Consider the following 17,027-nt stretch of genomic DNA (forward strand, 5'->3'; position numbering starts at 1 on the left):
CCCTCTCAGCCCCCAGGACACTCAGTTCCACCCCAGCCTCATCCCCTTGGCCTTCTCATCTCAGGGGGCTCCTTATGTCCCCACATCCTCATATATACAGGCTCACGGAACCAAGAATTCTGGTATTCCAGCCATTACACAGATGGGGAAATTGAGACCCAGCGGAGCATGACTTGCCCAAGGTCCTCTACCAGGTCAGGAGCAGTCTGGACTAGAATTCACCCCACCTGAAACTCAGCAGAAGAGCATCCTTGTTGGGGGCAGGGGATGGCACTGGATGATGACTTACCCTCCTTTTGCTTTTTTAGGTCCAGGCGTGGATGGCAGGAAGGGGTTGACTGTCTTTTCCTCTGGAGCCACGACGGACATTGGGGGCATTGCTTCCTGAGAGCTGTCCCCATGTCCCCCTGGGCTGGGCTCTGGCGGAGCCTCCTGTGGCCTGATGTGTGGGACACCTGCCTCCTTGGGGTGCTTGCCTCCCAGTGGCTGGCCATGGCTGGCCAAGCGGCAGCAAGGCTCTGCTGGCTGCACCATGTCTGCCTGGTGACTGGGGGTGGATTGATATCCGGAGCCCTGTCAAGGACAAGGACACCACGGCTGGGGAGCTCCATCCTCGTTCCCAGGTGAACCTCAATGCTCCAGGCGAACTGGAGACCAGTTATTACACACTTACTAGGGTCCCAGCACTTCAGGCATCATCTTACTTAATTCTCCTAGTGCCCCTAGAAGGTAGCACAGGTACTCCCACATTTTGAAGGGTGAGGAAATTGAAGCCCAGAGAAGGCGTGGCCTACCCAAAGAACCACACTTCCCTATGGGAGTGGAATGAGAGCCTGGAAAATTGAGAAGATCCCCTTTAAATAGGGTTTTCCTTTGTGTGTGTGTGTATTTTTTTTTTTTTTTGAGACAAGTCTCACTCTGTCACCCAGGCTGGAGTGCAGTGGCAAGAACACAGCTCATTGTAGCCTTGACCTCCTGAGCTCAAGGGATCCCCCTGCTTCAGCCTCCCAAGTAGCTGGGACTACAAATACCTGTCACCACGCCTGGCTGATATTTTTTAATTTTTGGTAGAGATGAGGTCTCACTATGTTGCTCAGGCTGGTCTTGAACTCCTGGGCTCAAGCATTCCTCCTGCCTCAGCCTCCCAAAGTGCTGGGATTACAGGCATCAGTCACCATGCTCAGCCTTAATGGGATTTTCCAAGGGATACTTCAAAGAACAAGAATCCTTCATGAGCCTCCTTAAAAAGAGGAGGTTTTGGCCAGGTGTGGTGGTTCACACCTGCAATCCCAGAATTTTGGGAGGCTGAGGGGCAGGTGGATCACTTGAAGTCAGGAATTCATGACCAGCCTGGCCAACATGGAGAAATTCTGTCTCTACACAAAATTAGCTACGCATGGTGGCTCATGTCTGTAATCCCAGCTATTTGGGAGGTTGAGGGACGAGAATCACTTGAACCCAGGAGGTGGAGGTTGCAGTAAGCCATGATCACACCACTGCACTCCAGCCTGGGCGACAGAGTGAGACTCTGTCTCTTGAAAAAAAATAATAAAGGCCTAAGTGGGTGGATCACACGAGATTAGGAGTTCAGGACCAGCCTGGCCAACATGGTGAAACCCTGTCTCTACTAAAAACACAAAAATTAGCTGGGCGTGGTGGTACGTGCCTGTAATCCCAGCCACTCAGGAGGCTGAGGTGGGAGGATCACTTGAACCCAGGAGGTGGAGGTTGCAGTGACCCAAGATCACACCCCTGCACTCCAGCCTGGGCAACAGGGTGAGACTCCATGTCAAAAAAAAAAAAAAAAAAAAAGTGGTATATTATGGTATATCCATAGAATGGAAATATTACTGAGCAACCAAAAGAACAACATGTTGATACACACAATACATGAATTTCTTTCTCTTTCTCTCTCTCCTTTTTTTTTTTTTTTTTTTTTGGAGACAGAGTCTCACTCTGTTCTCCAGGCTGGAGTGCACTGGCATGATCTCAGCTCACTGCAACCTCCGCCTCCCAGGTTCAAGTGATTCTCCTGCCTCAGCCTCCCGAGTAGCTGGGACTACAGGCACCTGCCACCATGCCCAGCTAATGTTTATATTTTTAGTAGAGACGGGGTTTCACCAGGTTGGCCAAGCTGGTCTTGAACTCCTGACCTCAGGTGATTCACCCGCCTCAGCCTCCCAGAGTGCTGGGATTACAGGCTGAGCCACCGCACCCGACCTAGATGAATCTCAAATAGTCATGTGGAGTGAACGAAGCCAGACAGAAAGAATGTACACTGTACAATTTCATTTGTGTAAAATTCCACGAAATACAAACAAATCTATAGTGATAGTTGGTAGTCGCCTGGGGATAGACTAGTGGGAGGGGGGATGAGAAAGGGCATGAGGAAATGGTTGGGGTGATGGCTATGTTTGCTTTCTTGATTGTGGGGATGGTTTTGTGGGTGTGTACATATGTCAAAATATTAAATTGTACACTTAAAGTATGTGCAAGTGAATGCCAATTATACCTTACTGAAGCTGTTAAAAATAAATCTTACCAGGCTGGGTGCGGTGGCTCACACCTGTAATCCCAGCACTTTGGGAGGCTGAGGCAGGAGAATGGCATGAACCTGGGAGGCAGAGCTTGCAGTGAGCCGAGATTGCGCCACTGCACTCCAGCCTGGGCGACAGAGCAAGACTGTCTCAAAAAAAAAAAAAATCTTACAGATAAATAAAAAAAGATCTTGTGGTCAAATAAGTTTGGGAAAGGCAATATACTCTAACCATATCTTTTTAAAATTTTTTATTTATTTTTTTATTTTTATTTTTTTTGAGACAGGGTTTCACTCTGTCACCCAGGCTGGAGCACAGTGGTGTGATCTTGGCTCACTGCAGCCTGGACCCCAGGCTCAGGGGATCCTCCCATCTCAGTATCTGGAGTAGCTGGGGCCACAGACATGTGCCACCACATCCAGCTAACTTTGGTATTTTTTGTAGGAACGGGGTTTCACCATGTTGCCCTGATCTCAAACTCCTGGGCTCAAGCAATCCTCCCACCTCAGCCTCCCAAAGTGCTGGGATTACAAGCACGAGCCACGGCGCCTGGCCTCTAATCATATCTTGCAAAATCTTACAAAGGCTCAGCAGCTAGTAAACTGCTTCCAGGATATCCTAGCATACAGAAACCTGTTTCAGCTTTGTTAAACTCAGCATGTCCCAATATTATCTGTATACAGAACCTGGCACCTCCTCCCTCCCCCCTGCACCCATTGACATACCGTGGGGCCACTCTGGAAACAAGACTTATTTTTATTTTATTTTTATTTTTTTGAGACGGAGTTTTGCTCTCATTGCCCTGGTTGGAGTGCAATGGCGCGATCTCAGCTCACTGCAACCTCCACCTCCCGTGTTCAAGCAATTCTCCTGCCTCGGCCTCTTGAGTAGCTGGGATTACAGGCATGTGCCACCACACCCGGCTAATTTTATATTTTTTAGTAGAGACAGGGTTTTACCATGTTGGCCAGGCTGGTCTTGACCTCAGGTGATCTGCCTCCTTCGGCCTCCAGAAGTGCTGGGATTAACAGGCGTGAGCCACCATGCCCGGCCTGGAAACAAGACTTAAATGCTTGTGATGTAGGCTGGGGGAATAGCCCAGTGACCCACAGACTGAGTGCTTGACATCTTCAGGGCACAGAGGTGAGCAAACATTCTGTCACCCAGGCTGGAGTGCAGTGGCCTGAACATAGCTCATTGTAGCCTTGACCTCCTGGGCTCAAGGGATCACCCCTGCCTCAGCCTCCCAAGTAGCTGGGACTACAGATACATGCACCAGAATGGGGGGCATGATAGGAGGGGGGCTCTTTCACCTCCTCTGTGGTAGGTCATTCCATACCCTTCTCCCCAGATCTCCTAGGTTACCTGGCAGCTCTCAGGAGGCTGATCCTCCCCGATTCCCCGGTTCCGTTGCCTCCCCTGCTGGCCCTTGATCTCCTTTCCGGAGCCCAGCTGCTGCAGCCCTTCAGGTACTTCAGGAACCCAGGAAGGCAGCAACCCCAGCTCACTCTGATCCTGGCCTGCTTGCAGCTCCTGGGACCCTTCCTGGGGGACCCAAGAGGGCTGTTTCTTCCTGGGGAAAATAGACAAAGTGACACTTTAGCTCCCAGACTGGGGCACTGTTTTATATATTTTTACAGGGCTAGGCATACCATAGGTGCATAGCTAACGCCTGGAAGGACCAATGAAGGACTCACAGGAATTCCCCAAATCATAGACACTTTGATGTCAATGTTTGGGGGAGTTAAAATTTAAACTTTCACAATTATTTGTAGAGACAAGGTCTCTCTGTGTTGCCCAGGCTGGTCTTGAACTCCTGGGCTCAAGCAATCTTCGACCTCGGCCTCCCAAAGTGCTGGGATTAGAGGTACGTGCCATTGCATCCAGCCTAGAATTTAAGTTTTATAGTATTTTTAAACTGTTTTTCAGAAAAAAATGAAACAAAAATCAGAACTGGGATGCAGAGAGGACAAGAGATTTGAGCCTAAGGTCATAAAGCTAAAGATAACTGTTCAAAATTTGAAGCTGTGTCTATCCGATCTCACTTTAGTATTCTGGAGTATTTCCTCCAAGCTTCTTCCTATGCGTATGCATACTTATTTATTTATTTATTTATTTGAGACAGAGTCTTGCTCTGTCACCCAGGTTCGAGTGTAGTGGCATGATCTCAGCTCACTGCAACCTCCACTTCCTGGGCTCAAGCAATCCTCCCGCCTTAGCCTCCCAAGTAGCTGGGACTACAGGCATATGCCACCATGCCTGGCCAATCTTCATATTTTTTGTAGAGATGGGGTTTCACCATGTTGTCCAGGTTGGTCTTGAACTCCTGGGCTTAAGTGATCCGCCAACCTCAACTTCCCAAAGTGTTGAGATTACAGGCGTGAACCATGGTGCCCGGCTATATATATATATATATATATATTTTTTTTTTTTTTTTTTGAGACAGAATTTTGCTCTTGTTGCCCAGGCTGGAGTGCAGTGGAGTGATCTTGGCTCACTGCAACCTCTGCCTCCTGGGTTCAAGTGATTCTCCTGCCTCAGCCTCCCAAGTAGCTGGGATTACAGGCATGTGCCACCATGCCCAGCTAGTTTTATATTTTTAGTAGAGATGGGGTTTTGCCATGTTGGCCAGACTGGTTTTAAACCCCTGACCTCAGGTAATCCACCTGCCTTGGCCTCCCAAAGTGCTGGGATTACAGGTGTGAGCCACTGTGCCCGGCCTAATGTACTTTTTTCAATTAACATCATAGCCTGTGTTTTTCGCATGCTAAAAATCCTTCAGAAACATGCTTTATATGTTTTCTTATGTTCATTAAATGTATAAAATTCCATATTTTAAAGATAACCATCATTAACCATTTCCCTATTGTGTGGGCGCTTAAGGGGTTTCTAATTTTTTAGTATTTAAGATAATGTGACAGTGAAAGTCTTTGTGCATAAAACTGCTTGAATCACCAATTATTTCCTCATGGCCTATTTCCAGAAATGGGTGAGGATAAAGGGAGTTTCAAGGCAGTTTAAACAAATTGCCACGTTGATGAAACAGGTATGCTTAAATGGTTTCTATTTCCACCGGCATGGTATGCAGTAGTTGTCTCAGTGGGCCTCGGACCTGGCTTGAGTTGTCTCTCCTAACTTTTCTTGTAGAGGAGGCTATTTAGGAGCTTCTGGTTATAGTCAAATCCAACTAAGCCAGCTAGTCTTTACTATTTCTATTATCCCAGCCTTTCACTTTGCCTCTATCTGGCTCGCTCTTGATTTTCTCTTTTTGAATACATTCTTGCTGTAGAAAAGTTTTAAAAAAACACAAAATTTAGAAAACAATTACGTGTACATCTTTACATGTTCCTGTGTCTCCTAACCTTTTTTTGTTCATTATTCTATTAATTCAGTGAATCAATATTTATCGAACATTTACTATGTGTCAGGCATAGTACTAGGCATGAGGGCTTTGAGGTTGAACCAGGTATATGATGCTCCTCAAACAAGACACATAAAAGATGTTTGTGGTCTCGTTGGGGGAGTTCAGACAAAAGGTTAACATGAACTCTTTAGTGCAACTGGTGCAATGAAAGAGAAGGACAAGGTGCTGTCGTGGGTGGAGCTGCCTTGGCCTGGGAGTTCTCCATTCTCTCTCTCTCCCCCGCGGGTGGGCTACAGGGGGTTCTCTCTTGGACCTGTTCTCTCGAGAGCCCCTCAGCTCACCCTGGTCTTGCTGGAGGCCCCTGCTCCTGGATTCTGAGCTCTGAAGGCCCCTTCTCAAATGCATCTCTGAGTCTGGGCCCCTTCTCTGGCCCTCGTGAAGCTGATGAGAGGTGCTTCTTGCTGCCCACTTCCGAAGCATCCGGAAACATGACCTGGACAGAGATATCCATGGCAGTGGCTTGAGGGCTGGCATTGAGTACCCGTTCTGGAGTGATCCCTCCCACTCCTCCCTGGGTACTCTTCTGGCCTCAAGGACAGGGAGATCCTGTGCCTGATTGGGGAAGCTGTTGGAGAGGGGTGAGCAGGAGCTGAGAGGCAGGGATGCAGGGCCCGGCCCTGCTGTTGCTGTTGCTTAGCACGTAAGGCTCTGGTATGAACTGGAGTCCAGATTAGTACCCGAGACAAGGGGATTGCCTTAAGGACAGCTTGAAAGAGCACCCTGGGGGACCCCAAGACTCTCACAAGGTCCAAGAGACGCCTTCAACAATTCCCATGCCTTCAAAACGCAGGCTCTAGTTTGAACTGAGTTTTTATTTCATTTTTTGAGAGAGAGTTTCCCTCCTTTGCCCAGGCTGGAGTGCAGTGGCACAGTCTCGGCTCACTGCAACTTCCACCTGCTGGGTTCAAGCGATTCTTGTGCCTCAGCTTCCCGAGTAGGTGGGATTACAGGTGTGCGCCACCATGCCCAACTAATTTTTTTTTTTTATTTTTTTTGTAGGCCAGGCTGGTCTCGAACTTCTGACCTCAAGTGATCCGTCTGCCTCAGCCTCCCAAAGTGCTGGGATTACAGGCATGAGGCACCGCACCTGGCCTGAACTGGGTTTTGATCACTATCATGGTCTGTCACTCTCCAACTGGGTGACCTGGAGCCAGTGACTGAGACCCCGCTCCAAGCATCACCGGAGTCAGCAAACTCCAAACAAATGGACTTAATTAACTCATTGACATTGATATAATACAAGATTCTGATGTGAGCTAATACTAACAGGCACCTACTATGAGACAGGGCCTGTGCTAGGTGCCTTAGTCAACACCGTAAAACAAATGAGGCTGCAAGGGGTGCAGTGACAGGCCCAACATCACACAGCTGGGTAAGTGGTGGGACTGGGACCCCATGACGGTGCTTGTTGAAAAAATAAATGGGTGGATGAAGGAAGCCCTGAATGTTCACCTCTAGCCTCTCTCCTAGCCTCCTCCCCTCCAGGCCCTCTCCCTGCCCCAGGGGAAGTGAGGATTTATAACAGAGGCTACAGGGAACATACCCAAGGGCATGTTGACTTTTTATTTTTTTTTTTGGCTTTTTTTTTCTTTTCCTTTTTGTGGAGAACGGGGTCTCGCTATATTGCCCAGGCAGGCCTCGAACTCCTGGACTCAAGCTCTCCTCCCGCCTCTGCCTCCCTAAGAGCTGGGATCACAGGCGTGAGCCACCGCGCCTGGCTTTGTTTTTTTTTTGAGACGGGGTCTCACGATGTTGCCCAGGCTGGTCTTTAACTCCTGGGATCAAGCAATCCACCTATCTCTGCCTCCCAAAGTATTGGGAGCAGGCGTGAGCCATGGCACCTGGCTGACTTTTTATTTTATTGTATTGTATTTTATTTATTTGTTTGTTTGTTTGTTTATTTATTTTTGAGATGGAGTTTCACTCTTGTTGCCCAGGCTGGAGTGCAATGGTGCAATCTCCGCTCACCGCAACCTCCACCTCCCAGGTTCAAGCGATTCTCCTGCCTCAGCCTCCCAAGTTGCTGGGATTACAGGCATGCACCACCATGCCAGGCTAATTTTGTATTTTTAGTAGAGACTGGGTTTCTCCATGTTGGTCAGGCTGGTCTTGAACTCCCGACCTCAGGTGATCCACCCGCCTCGGCCTCCCAAAGTGCTGGGATTACAGGCGTGAGCCACCGCGCCCGGCTGGCTGACTTTTTAAATGGTGATATCTTTGGCCCTGAGGAAACTGGATGGTGAGGAGGGTCTTCTTTATGCTCTTCAGTTCATGCTACTTGGCACATTCAAAAAGAGGCCAGTGGGGCGCAGTGGCTCACGCCTGTAATCCTAACATTTTGGGAGGCCGAGGTGGGCGGATCACTTGGGGTCAGGAGTTCAAGACCAGCCTGTCCAACATGGTGAAATCCCATCTCTTCTAAAAATACAAAAAAAATTAGACGGAAATCATTTGAACCCAGGAGGCAGAGGTTGCAGTGAGCCATGATCACACCATTGCACTCCAGCCTGGGTGACAGCAAGACTCTATCTCAAAAAAAAAAAAAAAAAAAAAAAAAAGAAGATGCCGGACACGGAGGCTTATGCCTGTAATCCCAACACTTTGGGAGGCTGAGGCAGACAGATCACTTGAGCCCATGAGTTCAAGACCAGCCTGGGCAACATGATAAAGCCTTGTCTCTACAAAAAATTAAAAAAATAGTTGGGTATGGTGGCACAAGCCACGCCTATAGTTCCAGCTACTCAGGAGGCTGAGGCAGGAGGATCGCTTAAGCCTGGGAGTTCGAGGCTGCAGTGAGTCGTGATCGCACCACTGCACTCCAGTCTGGGTGAGAGAGTGAGAGCCTGTCTCAAAAATAAACAAACAAACAAACTAATAAACATATTTGATGGAAAGAGGCTGAGAGGTGTGATGGAAGCTTAGGATGCAGGCTGGGCTCTGGGGAGGGGCATGGAGGGAAGCCCTGAGTAGCTCTCAGGAGAATAAAGCTGGGCTGGAGGCTGTGAGGGGAGTTTGGAGGCCATGCAAGGCACCTAGAAGAGCGAGTAGGCAATTCTGGGTTTGCTCACCCTGCAGCTCTTTCCGTTACAGAAGCCAGCATTGTTTTTGGGAAGCTTCTCTTCTCCATTCAGCCCATGGGGCTCAGTGGAGCCACCTATCACCTCTGTCTCCATTGTATCAAGAGATCCAGACCACTCCCCACTGCCATGGTGATTGGTTCAAGGATGAGCATCTGACCACAATCTGGGCCAATGACAGTGATGCTAGAGACTTGTTTCAACTATTGCAAAGAGGCTCACTTCCTGTTGGAATGCTAAACCAGAGGGTGTAAGATGGGAAGATGTAATCCTGGAGTGGCCAGGGCAATCCCTGCCATCTTGCAGGGAGAGCTTGCCTGAGAATGAATCCAACACGGAGGAACATAGAGCCAAGAGATACTCATTTAGCACATTGATCTAGCCATACCTGAAGTCTATGAAGGCATGTGTCAGTTACCCAAACTGATATATTCTCTTTTCTGCTTAATCCAGTTTGAATTGGGTTTTGTGTCCATTTTTAACAGAGTCTTAATTAAAGCAGCTGGGGAGGAAGCCTGGGCAGGGGAAGGGAAAGGTGCCAGCTAGGAGTGAATGGATCAGAACATGGGGTGCAGGTCCCTACCTTGCTGACTCCTGGTATGATGGGCTCAACACCAGCCCTCTTTATGGTGATCCTCAGGCCAGGACTTGGCTGCGTCCCTGGAGCCTTGGTTCTACCCTCCGTGTACATCTGGGTGTTTCTATTGTCCATGATGCCAGCGCCAACACGGGTGCCAAGTGAGGGGCATCACCTAGTGTGCTCCTACAGGAGAAATCCAATCAAGCGTCCCACCAAGCCCATCACCTAACTGCTGCTTCAGGAGCCCACTTGGAGCCTATAATGTAGACAGCCTGGCTCGAGGGAAGAGGCGGGGCCAGGCCTTGCAAGGAGAGGCACGCAGCAAAACCAGAGAGCTAGCCACATGCCATTTACCCATACGCTTTTCCTAGTTCTCACTATGACCCTGAGGAAAAGGGGCTCTGGAAGGCACAAGACTTGCCCAAGATCTAACACCTGCTAGGTCGCAGACGAGGATTTGAACCATGGCCTGTTGAATCCCAAAACCCAGGCGCTTTCCCCGACGGCGACATTTCCTACAGGGTATTCTTTGGCATACTGGTCCCTTCAGATGCTCCAAGGGGTTCCAAGGCTAAATGCCTTTGGAAAGTGCTGTGATGAGCGAAATGATACAGGCTCTTTCCTGTACAACTTCTCAGAGCCTTTAAAATACTAATGTGCCTTTTAAAGAGAGTCCAAGAATGTCACAGCTGCTCCTGCTATAGATGAAAACTCCATGTTCTTAGATGGGGCTAAGGAACAAGAACTAGGGACATCTGTCCATCTGTCTCAGGGCCCCAAAGTCTCCAGCGGCAATCTGCAGTTCACCAAAGCACCCACACCCTGCCCTGGACACATCCTTTCTTTTTCTTTTTCTTTTCTTCTTCTTCTTCTTCTTTTTTTTTTTTTTTTGTTTGTTTTGAGACAGAGTCTCGCTCTGTTGCCCAGGCTGGAGTGCAGTGCTGCAATCTTGGCTCACTGCAACCTCTGCCTCCTGGGCTCAAGCAATTCTCCTGCCTCAGCCTCCCTACTAGCTGGGATTTTAGGCGGCCGCCACCATGCCCGGCTAATTTTTGTATTTTTAGTAGAGATGGGGTTTCACCAGGTTGGCCACGCTGGTCTTGAACTCCTGACCTCAAGTGATCCGCCCGCCTCGGCCTCCCAAAGTGTTGGGATTACAGGTGTGAGCCACTGCACCTGGCCATTTCTGAAGCCTTTCATCTCTCCTCCACCTCTTTCATCCAACCTCATGTTCAGCTGTGCCACCACCCCCTACACAAACTTTCTGTTTTAATCCAGGCAGGCTCCTGCAATCCTAGTCCCACAGACCCCAGCCTCTGTGCCCACCTCCCATTTTTTCTATCTTTCCGATAGCCCCCAACCCATCCTTCAAGCTCCTCCCTCTTCTCCAAGTTTCCAACCATCTCAGCTCTCTCTCCAGCCACTGAATTCCTTTGAGGCAACATCAGCACCATTTCTATGGGTACATGGACCCCCTTTCACTGTTAACTAGTTTCCAGGAGTAAATCCTAACCCCCATGCCCCTTCCTCCTGTAGTGAGACCATATGACCTTGAAGATCTTGATGGTGCTTCTTCCACTTTAAATCATGGCAGGCCCGCCAGCATCCACGGAGGAACCTTCCATGTGCTGGAAACCTTTGTAAACAGTATTCTCCTAACAGCCCTGTGAAGTCTGGGTTCAGCCCTGTTTTAAAGATAGGGAAATTAAGGCTCTGAGCAATGTTTTGTCCGATACCACATGGCCAGTCTGCAGAGGAACTGGATTCAAACCCAGGCCTGTCTGACTCCCATGGCCACTCATCTCATCATATCATTTTGCCTACAAAGAAGCTTAAGTCATTCATTCATTTCCTTGTGCAATCGATAACTGTTTAATGACACGTGCCCGTGCTAGGGACAACGTCAGGCCTTAGGGGATACACTGGGTGTCCTGACGGTTCCCACAGTTTACCAGGGACACAGAGGAGGCGCACTTAATAGCTGCTGACCCAAGTTCGCACTTCCTTTTCCTGCCCTCCAGGCCCTTCCTGCAGTTACAGCTGCACCCCTGCCATGCAAAGCAGACCTCAGCTGGTTTGGTGGGGTGACCTCCCACCCCTGGTGCAGCTCTGGCCTCACGAAGGACCAGGCTGTCACCTGGAGCGGAAAAGTCAGGGCTGTGGCCAAGTCCTTCTCTCTTGCCTTGGAGTTCCTTGCCCCTCCCCAGCCTCTTTCTCATTAGGGTTCCCCTAGCCATTCCCGCTTCCTCTGAGTCTTCCTGTCTCAGGGGTGGATGAACCACCTAGGGAAAATCTCCCCCTACGCCCCTCAAACACACCCCCTATTGTCCACTGTCTCTGCCTGAGAATGTGCAGGCTCAGCCTTGGAATTGTCAGGCCCCAGTATTCCACAAACTGAAGTTTTACGGAGGCAGAAGCCCCAGAGGGGCTCCAGCCCCTATCTGTCCACATCTGGAGCTTGCTAACTCTGAGAATCTAGACAAGGAGGGGAAGCCCCAGCCCTAGCAGAGGGGCTTGGAATCCAAGGGTAGAACTGGGAGAGAAGTTGACAAATATCGACTATGTCACCCTTTCAGATCACTTGGGACCCTTTTTTGTTTACAGCTTTATTGAAATTTAACTCACATACCATACAGTTCACCCATTTAAAGTGTACAATTCAACGGCTTTTAGGATATTCACAGAGTTGTACCACCCTCGCCCTAATTCTAGAATATTTTTATCACCCCAAAAAGAAACCCCACACCCCTTGGGCATCATCCCCAATCTTCCCACCCCAAACCCAGCCCTAGGTAACCACTAATCTACTTTCTGTCTTAGTGGATTTGTCTATTCCGAACATTCCATATAAATGGAATCATACAATATATGGTCCTTGGTGAGTAGCTTCTTTCACTTAACGTCATGTTTTCAAGGTTCATCCATGTTGTAGCACACATCAGAATTTCATTCCTTTTTATGGCTGAGTAATATTTCACTGTATGGCTAGACCCCATTTTGTTTATCCATTCATCAGTAGATAGAAATTGAGGTTGTTTCTTTTTTCTTTCTTTTTTTTTTTTTTGAGACAGAGTTTTGCTCTGTCACTCAGGCTGGAGTGCAGCAGTGCGATCGTAGCTTACTATAGCCTCAAACTCCTGGGCTCAAGGGATCCTCTCCCCTCAGCCTCTGAGTGGCTGGCTGGGACTACAGACGCATGCCACCATGCCTGGTTCGTCTTAAAAATTTTTTAATTTTAAATAGAGGCGAGGTCTCATTAGGTTGCCCAGGCTGCTCAAAGTCCTGAGCTTAAGTGATCCTCCCACCTTGGCCTCCCAAAGTGCTGAGATTACAGGTGTGAGCCACCATGCCTGGCCCGTTTCCACATTTTACCTATTATGAATAACACTGCTATGAACATTCATGTACAAGTTTTTATATGAACATACATTTGCATTTCTCTTGGTTATGTATATAGGAACGGAATTGCTGAATCACATGTCAACTCTATTTTTAGCTTTTGAGTAATTGCCAGACTTTCTCAAAGTGGCTGTATCATTTTACCTTCTTACCAGCAGCATATGACTGCTCCAATTTTTCTGCATCCTCTCCAACACTTGTTATTATCTGTCTTATTTATTTATTTATTTATTTTTTGAGACAGGGTCTTCCTTTATCACCCAGGATGGAGTGCAGTGGTATGACCATAGCTCACTGCAACCTCCAACTCTGGGGTTCAAGGGATCCTCCCACCTTAGCCTCCTGAGTAGCTGAGACTACAAGTGCACACCACCACACCTGGCTAATTTTCAAATATTTTGTAGATGGGAATCTCACTATGTTGTCCAGGCTGGTCTTGAACTCCTCAGCTCAAGGGATCCTCCCGCCTCAGCCTCCCAGTGTTTTGGGATTACAGGTGTGAGCCACTGTACCGCCTTACTTGTCTTTTTTATCATAGCTATCCTAGTGGATGTGAGTGTAAAGTGTTATCTCATTCTGATTTTGATTTGCATTTCCCCAATGGCCGATAATGTTGGACATCTTCATGTGCTTATTGGCCATTTGTCTATCTTCTTTGGAAAAATGTTTATTCAGAGCCTTCGTCCTTTTTTTTTTGAGATGGAGTCTCGCTCTGTCACCCAGGGTGGAGTGCAGTGGCCTAGTTCCAGCTCACTGCAACCTCCGTCTCCCGTGTCCATGCAATTCTCCTGCTTCAGCCTCCCTAGTAGCTGGGATTACAGGTGTGTGCCACCACACCAGACTAATTTTTGTATTTTTAGTAGAGACGCGGTTTTGCCATCTTGACCAGGCTGGTCTCAAACCCCTGACCTCAGGTGATCTGCCCACCTCAGCCTTCCAAAGTACTGGGATTACAGGTGTGAGCCACCATGCCCGGCCCCCCCCTTTTTTTTTTTTCAGACAGGGTCTTACTCTGTCCACAGGCTGGACTGCAGTGGCATGAACGTGGCTCACTATAGCCTTGACCTCTTGGGCTCAGGTGATCCTCCCATTTCAGCCTCCCAAAATGCTGGGATTACATGCATGAGTCACAGCACCCAGCCTGCCTCTGTCCATTTATACTGGGTTGTCTTTTTATTATTGCACGGTAAATGTTCTTTATAAATTCTAGATACATGTCCTGAATCATATATATGATCTGCAAAAATTTTCTCCCATTATGTGGATTACATTTTCACCTTTTTGTCTTTTGAAGCACAGAAGTTTTAAATTTTTGTAAAAGTCCCATTTATCGGCCTGGTGCGGTGGCTCACACCTGTAATCCCAGCACTCTGGGAGGCTGAGGCGGGCGGATCATGAGGTCAGGAGTTTGAGACCAGCCTGGCCAGCAAGGTGAAACCCCATCTCTACTAAAGATACAAAAAATTAGCTGAGTGTGGTGGTGCGTGCCTGTAATCCCAGCACTTTGGGAGGCCGAGGCGGGCAGATCACCTGAGGTTGGGAGTTTGAGACCAGCCTGACCAACATGGAGAAACCCCGTCTCTACTAAAAGTACAGAATTAGCCGGGCATGGTGGCACATGCCTGTAATCCCAGCTAGTCAGGAGGCTGAGGCAGGAGAATTGCTTGAACCTGGCAGGTGGAGGGTTGCAGTGAGCCGAGATCGCACCATTGCACTCCAGCCTAGATGACAGGGTGAGACTCTGTCTCAAAAAAAAAAAAAAAAAATACAGATAGGGTGCAGTGTATACTGCTCAGGTGATGGGTGGACCAAAATCTTACAAATCACCACTAAAGAACCTACTCATGCAGGGCAAGGTGGCTCACGCCTGTAATCCCAGAACTTTGGGATGCCAAGGGGGGCAGATCACTCGAGGTCAGGAGTTTGAGATCACCCTGGCTAACATGGTGAAATCCTGTTTCTACTAAAAATACAAAAATTAGCTGGGCATGGTGGTGCCTGCCTGTAATCCTAGGTACTTGGGAGGCTGAGGCAGGAGAATCGCTTGAACCTGGGAGATGGAGGTTGCAGTGAGCAGAGACTGCACCACTACACGCCAGCCTGGGCAACAGAGCAAGACTCCGTCTCAAAAAAAATTACTAATGTAAACAAAAAAAAAACACCAAAAAACAAAAACCTTAGTCATGTAGCCAAATACCACCTGTACCCCAATAACCTATGGAAAAACAAATAAATAAATAAATAAATAAAAAGTTTTGAAATCAGGAAGTGTGAGTCCTCCAACTTTGTTCTTTTTCAAAATTCTTTGGGTATTGAGTGCCCCTTTTATAAGTGGTTTCCTCATCTGAAAAATGGGAGAATTTCTCTTGGAAATATCTATGATGGCAGGAAAATACAGCAGATAAAGATAAGTGGCATATCATATATATGTCTGGAGGCCGTCAGGGAAAGCTTGTTCACCTTACACCCCACCTTGGCCCTGCACCTACCAGAAATCAGCTGGATGAGTCACAGTGAGATTTTCCACCCCTGCTCACCGCCTTGCACATAGGATGGGCTCTGTCTGAGCCTATACTTTGCCTGTTGGCTTGAATTGGATTTGTTTGGTATACAGGGCAGTTAAACTGGGAATAGATGGCAGGTCCAATTATTCTCAGCAGCAGAGGTTTAGGAATGCATTTCAGGAATATCCAGCCATGTGGTTAGGGTTTGAGAATAAGGCAAGGGGCTGTGTGACCTCCAACTACTGGACAGTGTCATTTCCCCCAGCTTGTCACTGGTTCAGTGGCCCCCATTACACAATGAAGATAACAATCGTTGCCTTGCCAACCTCACAGTGATTATTGGGCCAGGGTACTCTCTCCCAGAAAGCCTTCCCTGACTCTCCCCAGACTGTGTGGGGTTTCTTCTCTTTGCTCCCACAGGCCCCTGTGAATTTGCTTCATTACAGTACCTTTCATTCTGCTTTGCCAATGACTGCTTTTCTCTCTGTCTCCTCCAGTCTGCGAGCTCCAGGATGGTAGGAGCTGGATTGGCCACATCCCAGTGACCCCAGTACTCAGCACCTGGCATAGGGTATGTGCTCGATGCCTGTCTTTGTTAGACTGAACAGAACTGAAAGTGCTCTGAATGGCTGGGTGCGGTGGCTCACACCTGTAATCCCAGCACTTTGGGAGGCCGAGGTGGGTGGATCACTTGAGGTCGAGTTATAGACCAGCCTGGCCAACATGGTGAAACCCCGTCTCTACTAAAAATACAAAAATTAGCCAGGCATGGTGGCGCATGCCTGTAATCCCAGCTACTTAGGAGGCTGAGGCACGAGAATCACTTGAACCTGGGAGGCAGAAGTTGCAGTGAGCTGAGATCATGCCACTGTCTTCCAGCCTGGGTGGTAGAGTGAGACTTAGTCTCAAAAAAAAAAAAATTGGAAAATAAGGCCAGGTATGGTGGCTCATGCCTATAATCCTAGCACTTTGGAAGGCTGAGGCAGGAGGATCTCTTGAAGACAGGAATTCAAGACCAGCCTGGGCAACATAGCAAGACCCCCGTCTCTACAAAAAGTAAGAAAAATAGCAGGGTAGGGTGGTGTGTGCCTGTAGGCCCAGCTACTCAAAAGGTTGAGGCAGGAGGATCCCTTGAGCCCGGGAATTTGAGGCTGCAGTGAGTGATGATCGCACCATTGCACTCCAGTGTGGGGTGACAGAGAGAGAAAGAAAGAGAGAGACCCTGTCTAAAAAAAAAAAAAAAAAGAAAAGAAAAAGAAAAGAAAAGAAAAGAAAAATAACCAATATTTGCAAAAATGTGAAGAAATTGAAACCCTTGTGAACGTAAATGGTGCTGCTGCTGTGGAAGACAGTTTGGAGGCTCCTCAAAAAGGTGAGCAAGGCCGGACATGGTGGTTCACACCTGTAGTCCCAGCTACTTGGGAGGCTGAGTTGGGAGGATCACTTGAGCCTGGGAGGTTGAGGCTGCAGTGAGCCATGATCATGCCAGTGCTTTCCAGCCTGGGC

General features: G+C 48.3%; 1 protein-coding gene across 9 annotated transcripts in view, besides 1 other annotated feature; it reads right to left on the reverse strand.

Moving 5' to 3' along the window:
• The window catches only part of SPATA21 (spermatogenesis associated 21), a 42,166-nt gene extending 25,945 nt beyond the window's left edge, over positions 1 to 16,221 (reverse strand). For 4 of the 9 annotated variants that reach the window (XR_946646.4, XM_011541407.4, XM_017001218.2 and 1 more), the window contains exons 1-5: positions 15,507 to 16,221; positions 9,622 to 9,801; positions 6,243 to 6,394; positions 3,903 to 4,110; positions 290 to 573 (exon numbers count right to left, since the gene is read on the reverse strand). Coding sequence is in view for 4 of the 9 variants with exons in the window: in XM_011541407.4 (XP_011539709.1) it covers positions 290 to 573; positions 3,903 to 4,110; positions 6,243 to 6,394; positions 9,622 to 9,750 (773 nt within the window). In the remaining 5 variants the exon portion in view is untranslated. Of the gene's footprint in view, positions 1 to 289; positions 574 to 3,902; positions 4,111 to 6,242; positions 6,395 to 9,621; positions 9,802 to 11,168; positions 11,304 to 15,506 lie in introns of all 9 variants that reach the window. The other 5 variants (XR_946645.2, XR_001737156.2, NR_148413.2 and 2 more) reach the window with 4 other exon arrangements.
• Positions 16,533 to 16,703: a silencer, noted in NCBI's record as "fragment chr1:16764649-16764819 (GRCh37/hg19 assembly coordinates)". NCBI's record gives its function as "represses an EF-1alpha promoter that drives an FKBP-Casp9 reporter gene in an ReSE screen in phorbol 12-myristate 13-acetate-treated (for megakaryocytic differentiation) K562 erythroleukemia cells {active_cell/tissue: K562(+PMA)}" and the evidence as "EXISTENCE:reporter gene assay evidence [ECO:0000049][PMID:32094911]".

Source organism: Homo sapiens, chromosome 1 (assembly GCF_000001405.40).
Source record: "Homo sapiens chromosome 1, GRCh38.p14 Primary Assembly".
Lineage (NCBI taxonomy): Eukaryota > Metazoa > Chordata > Mammalia > Primates > Hominidae > Homo > Homo sapiens.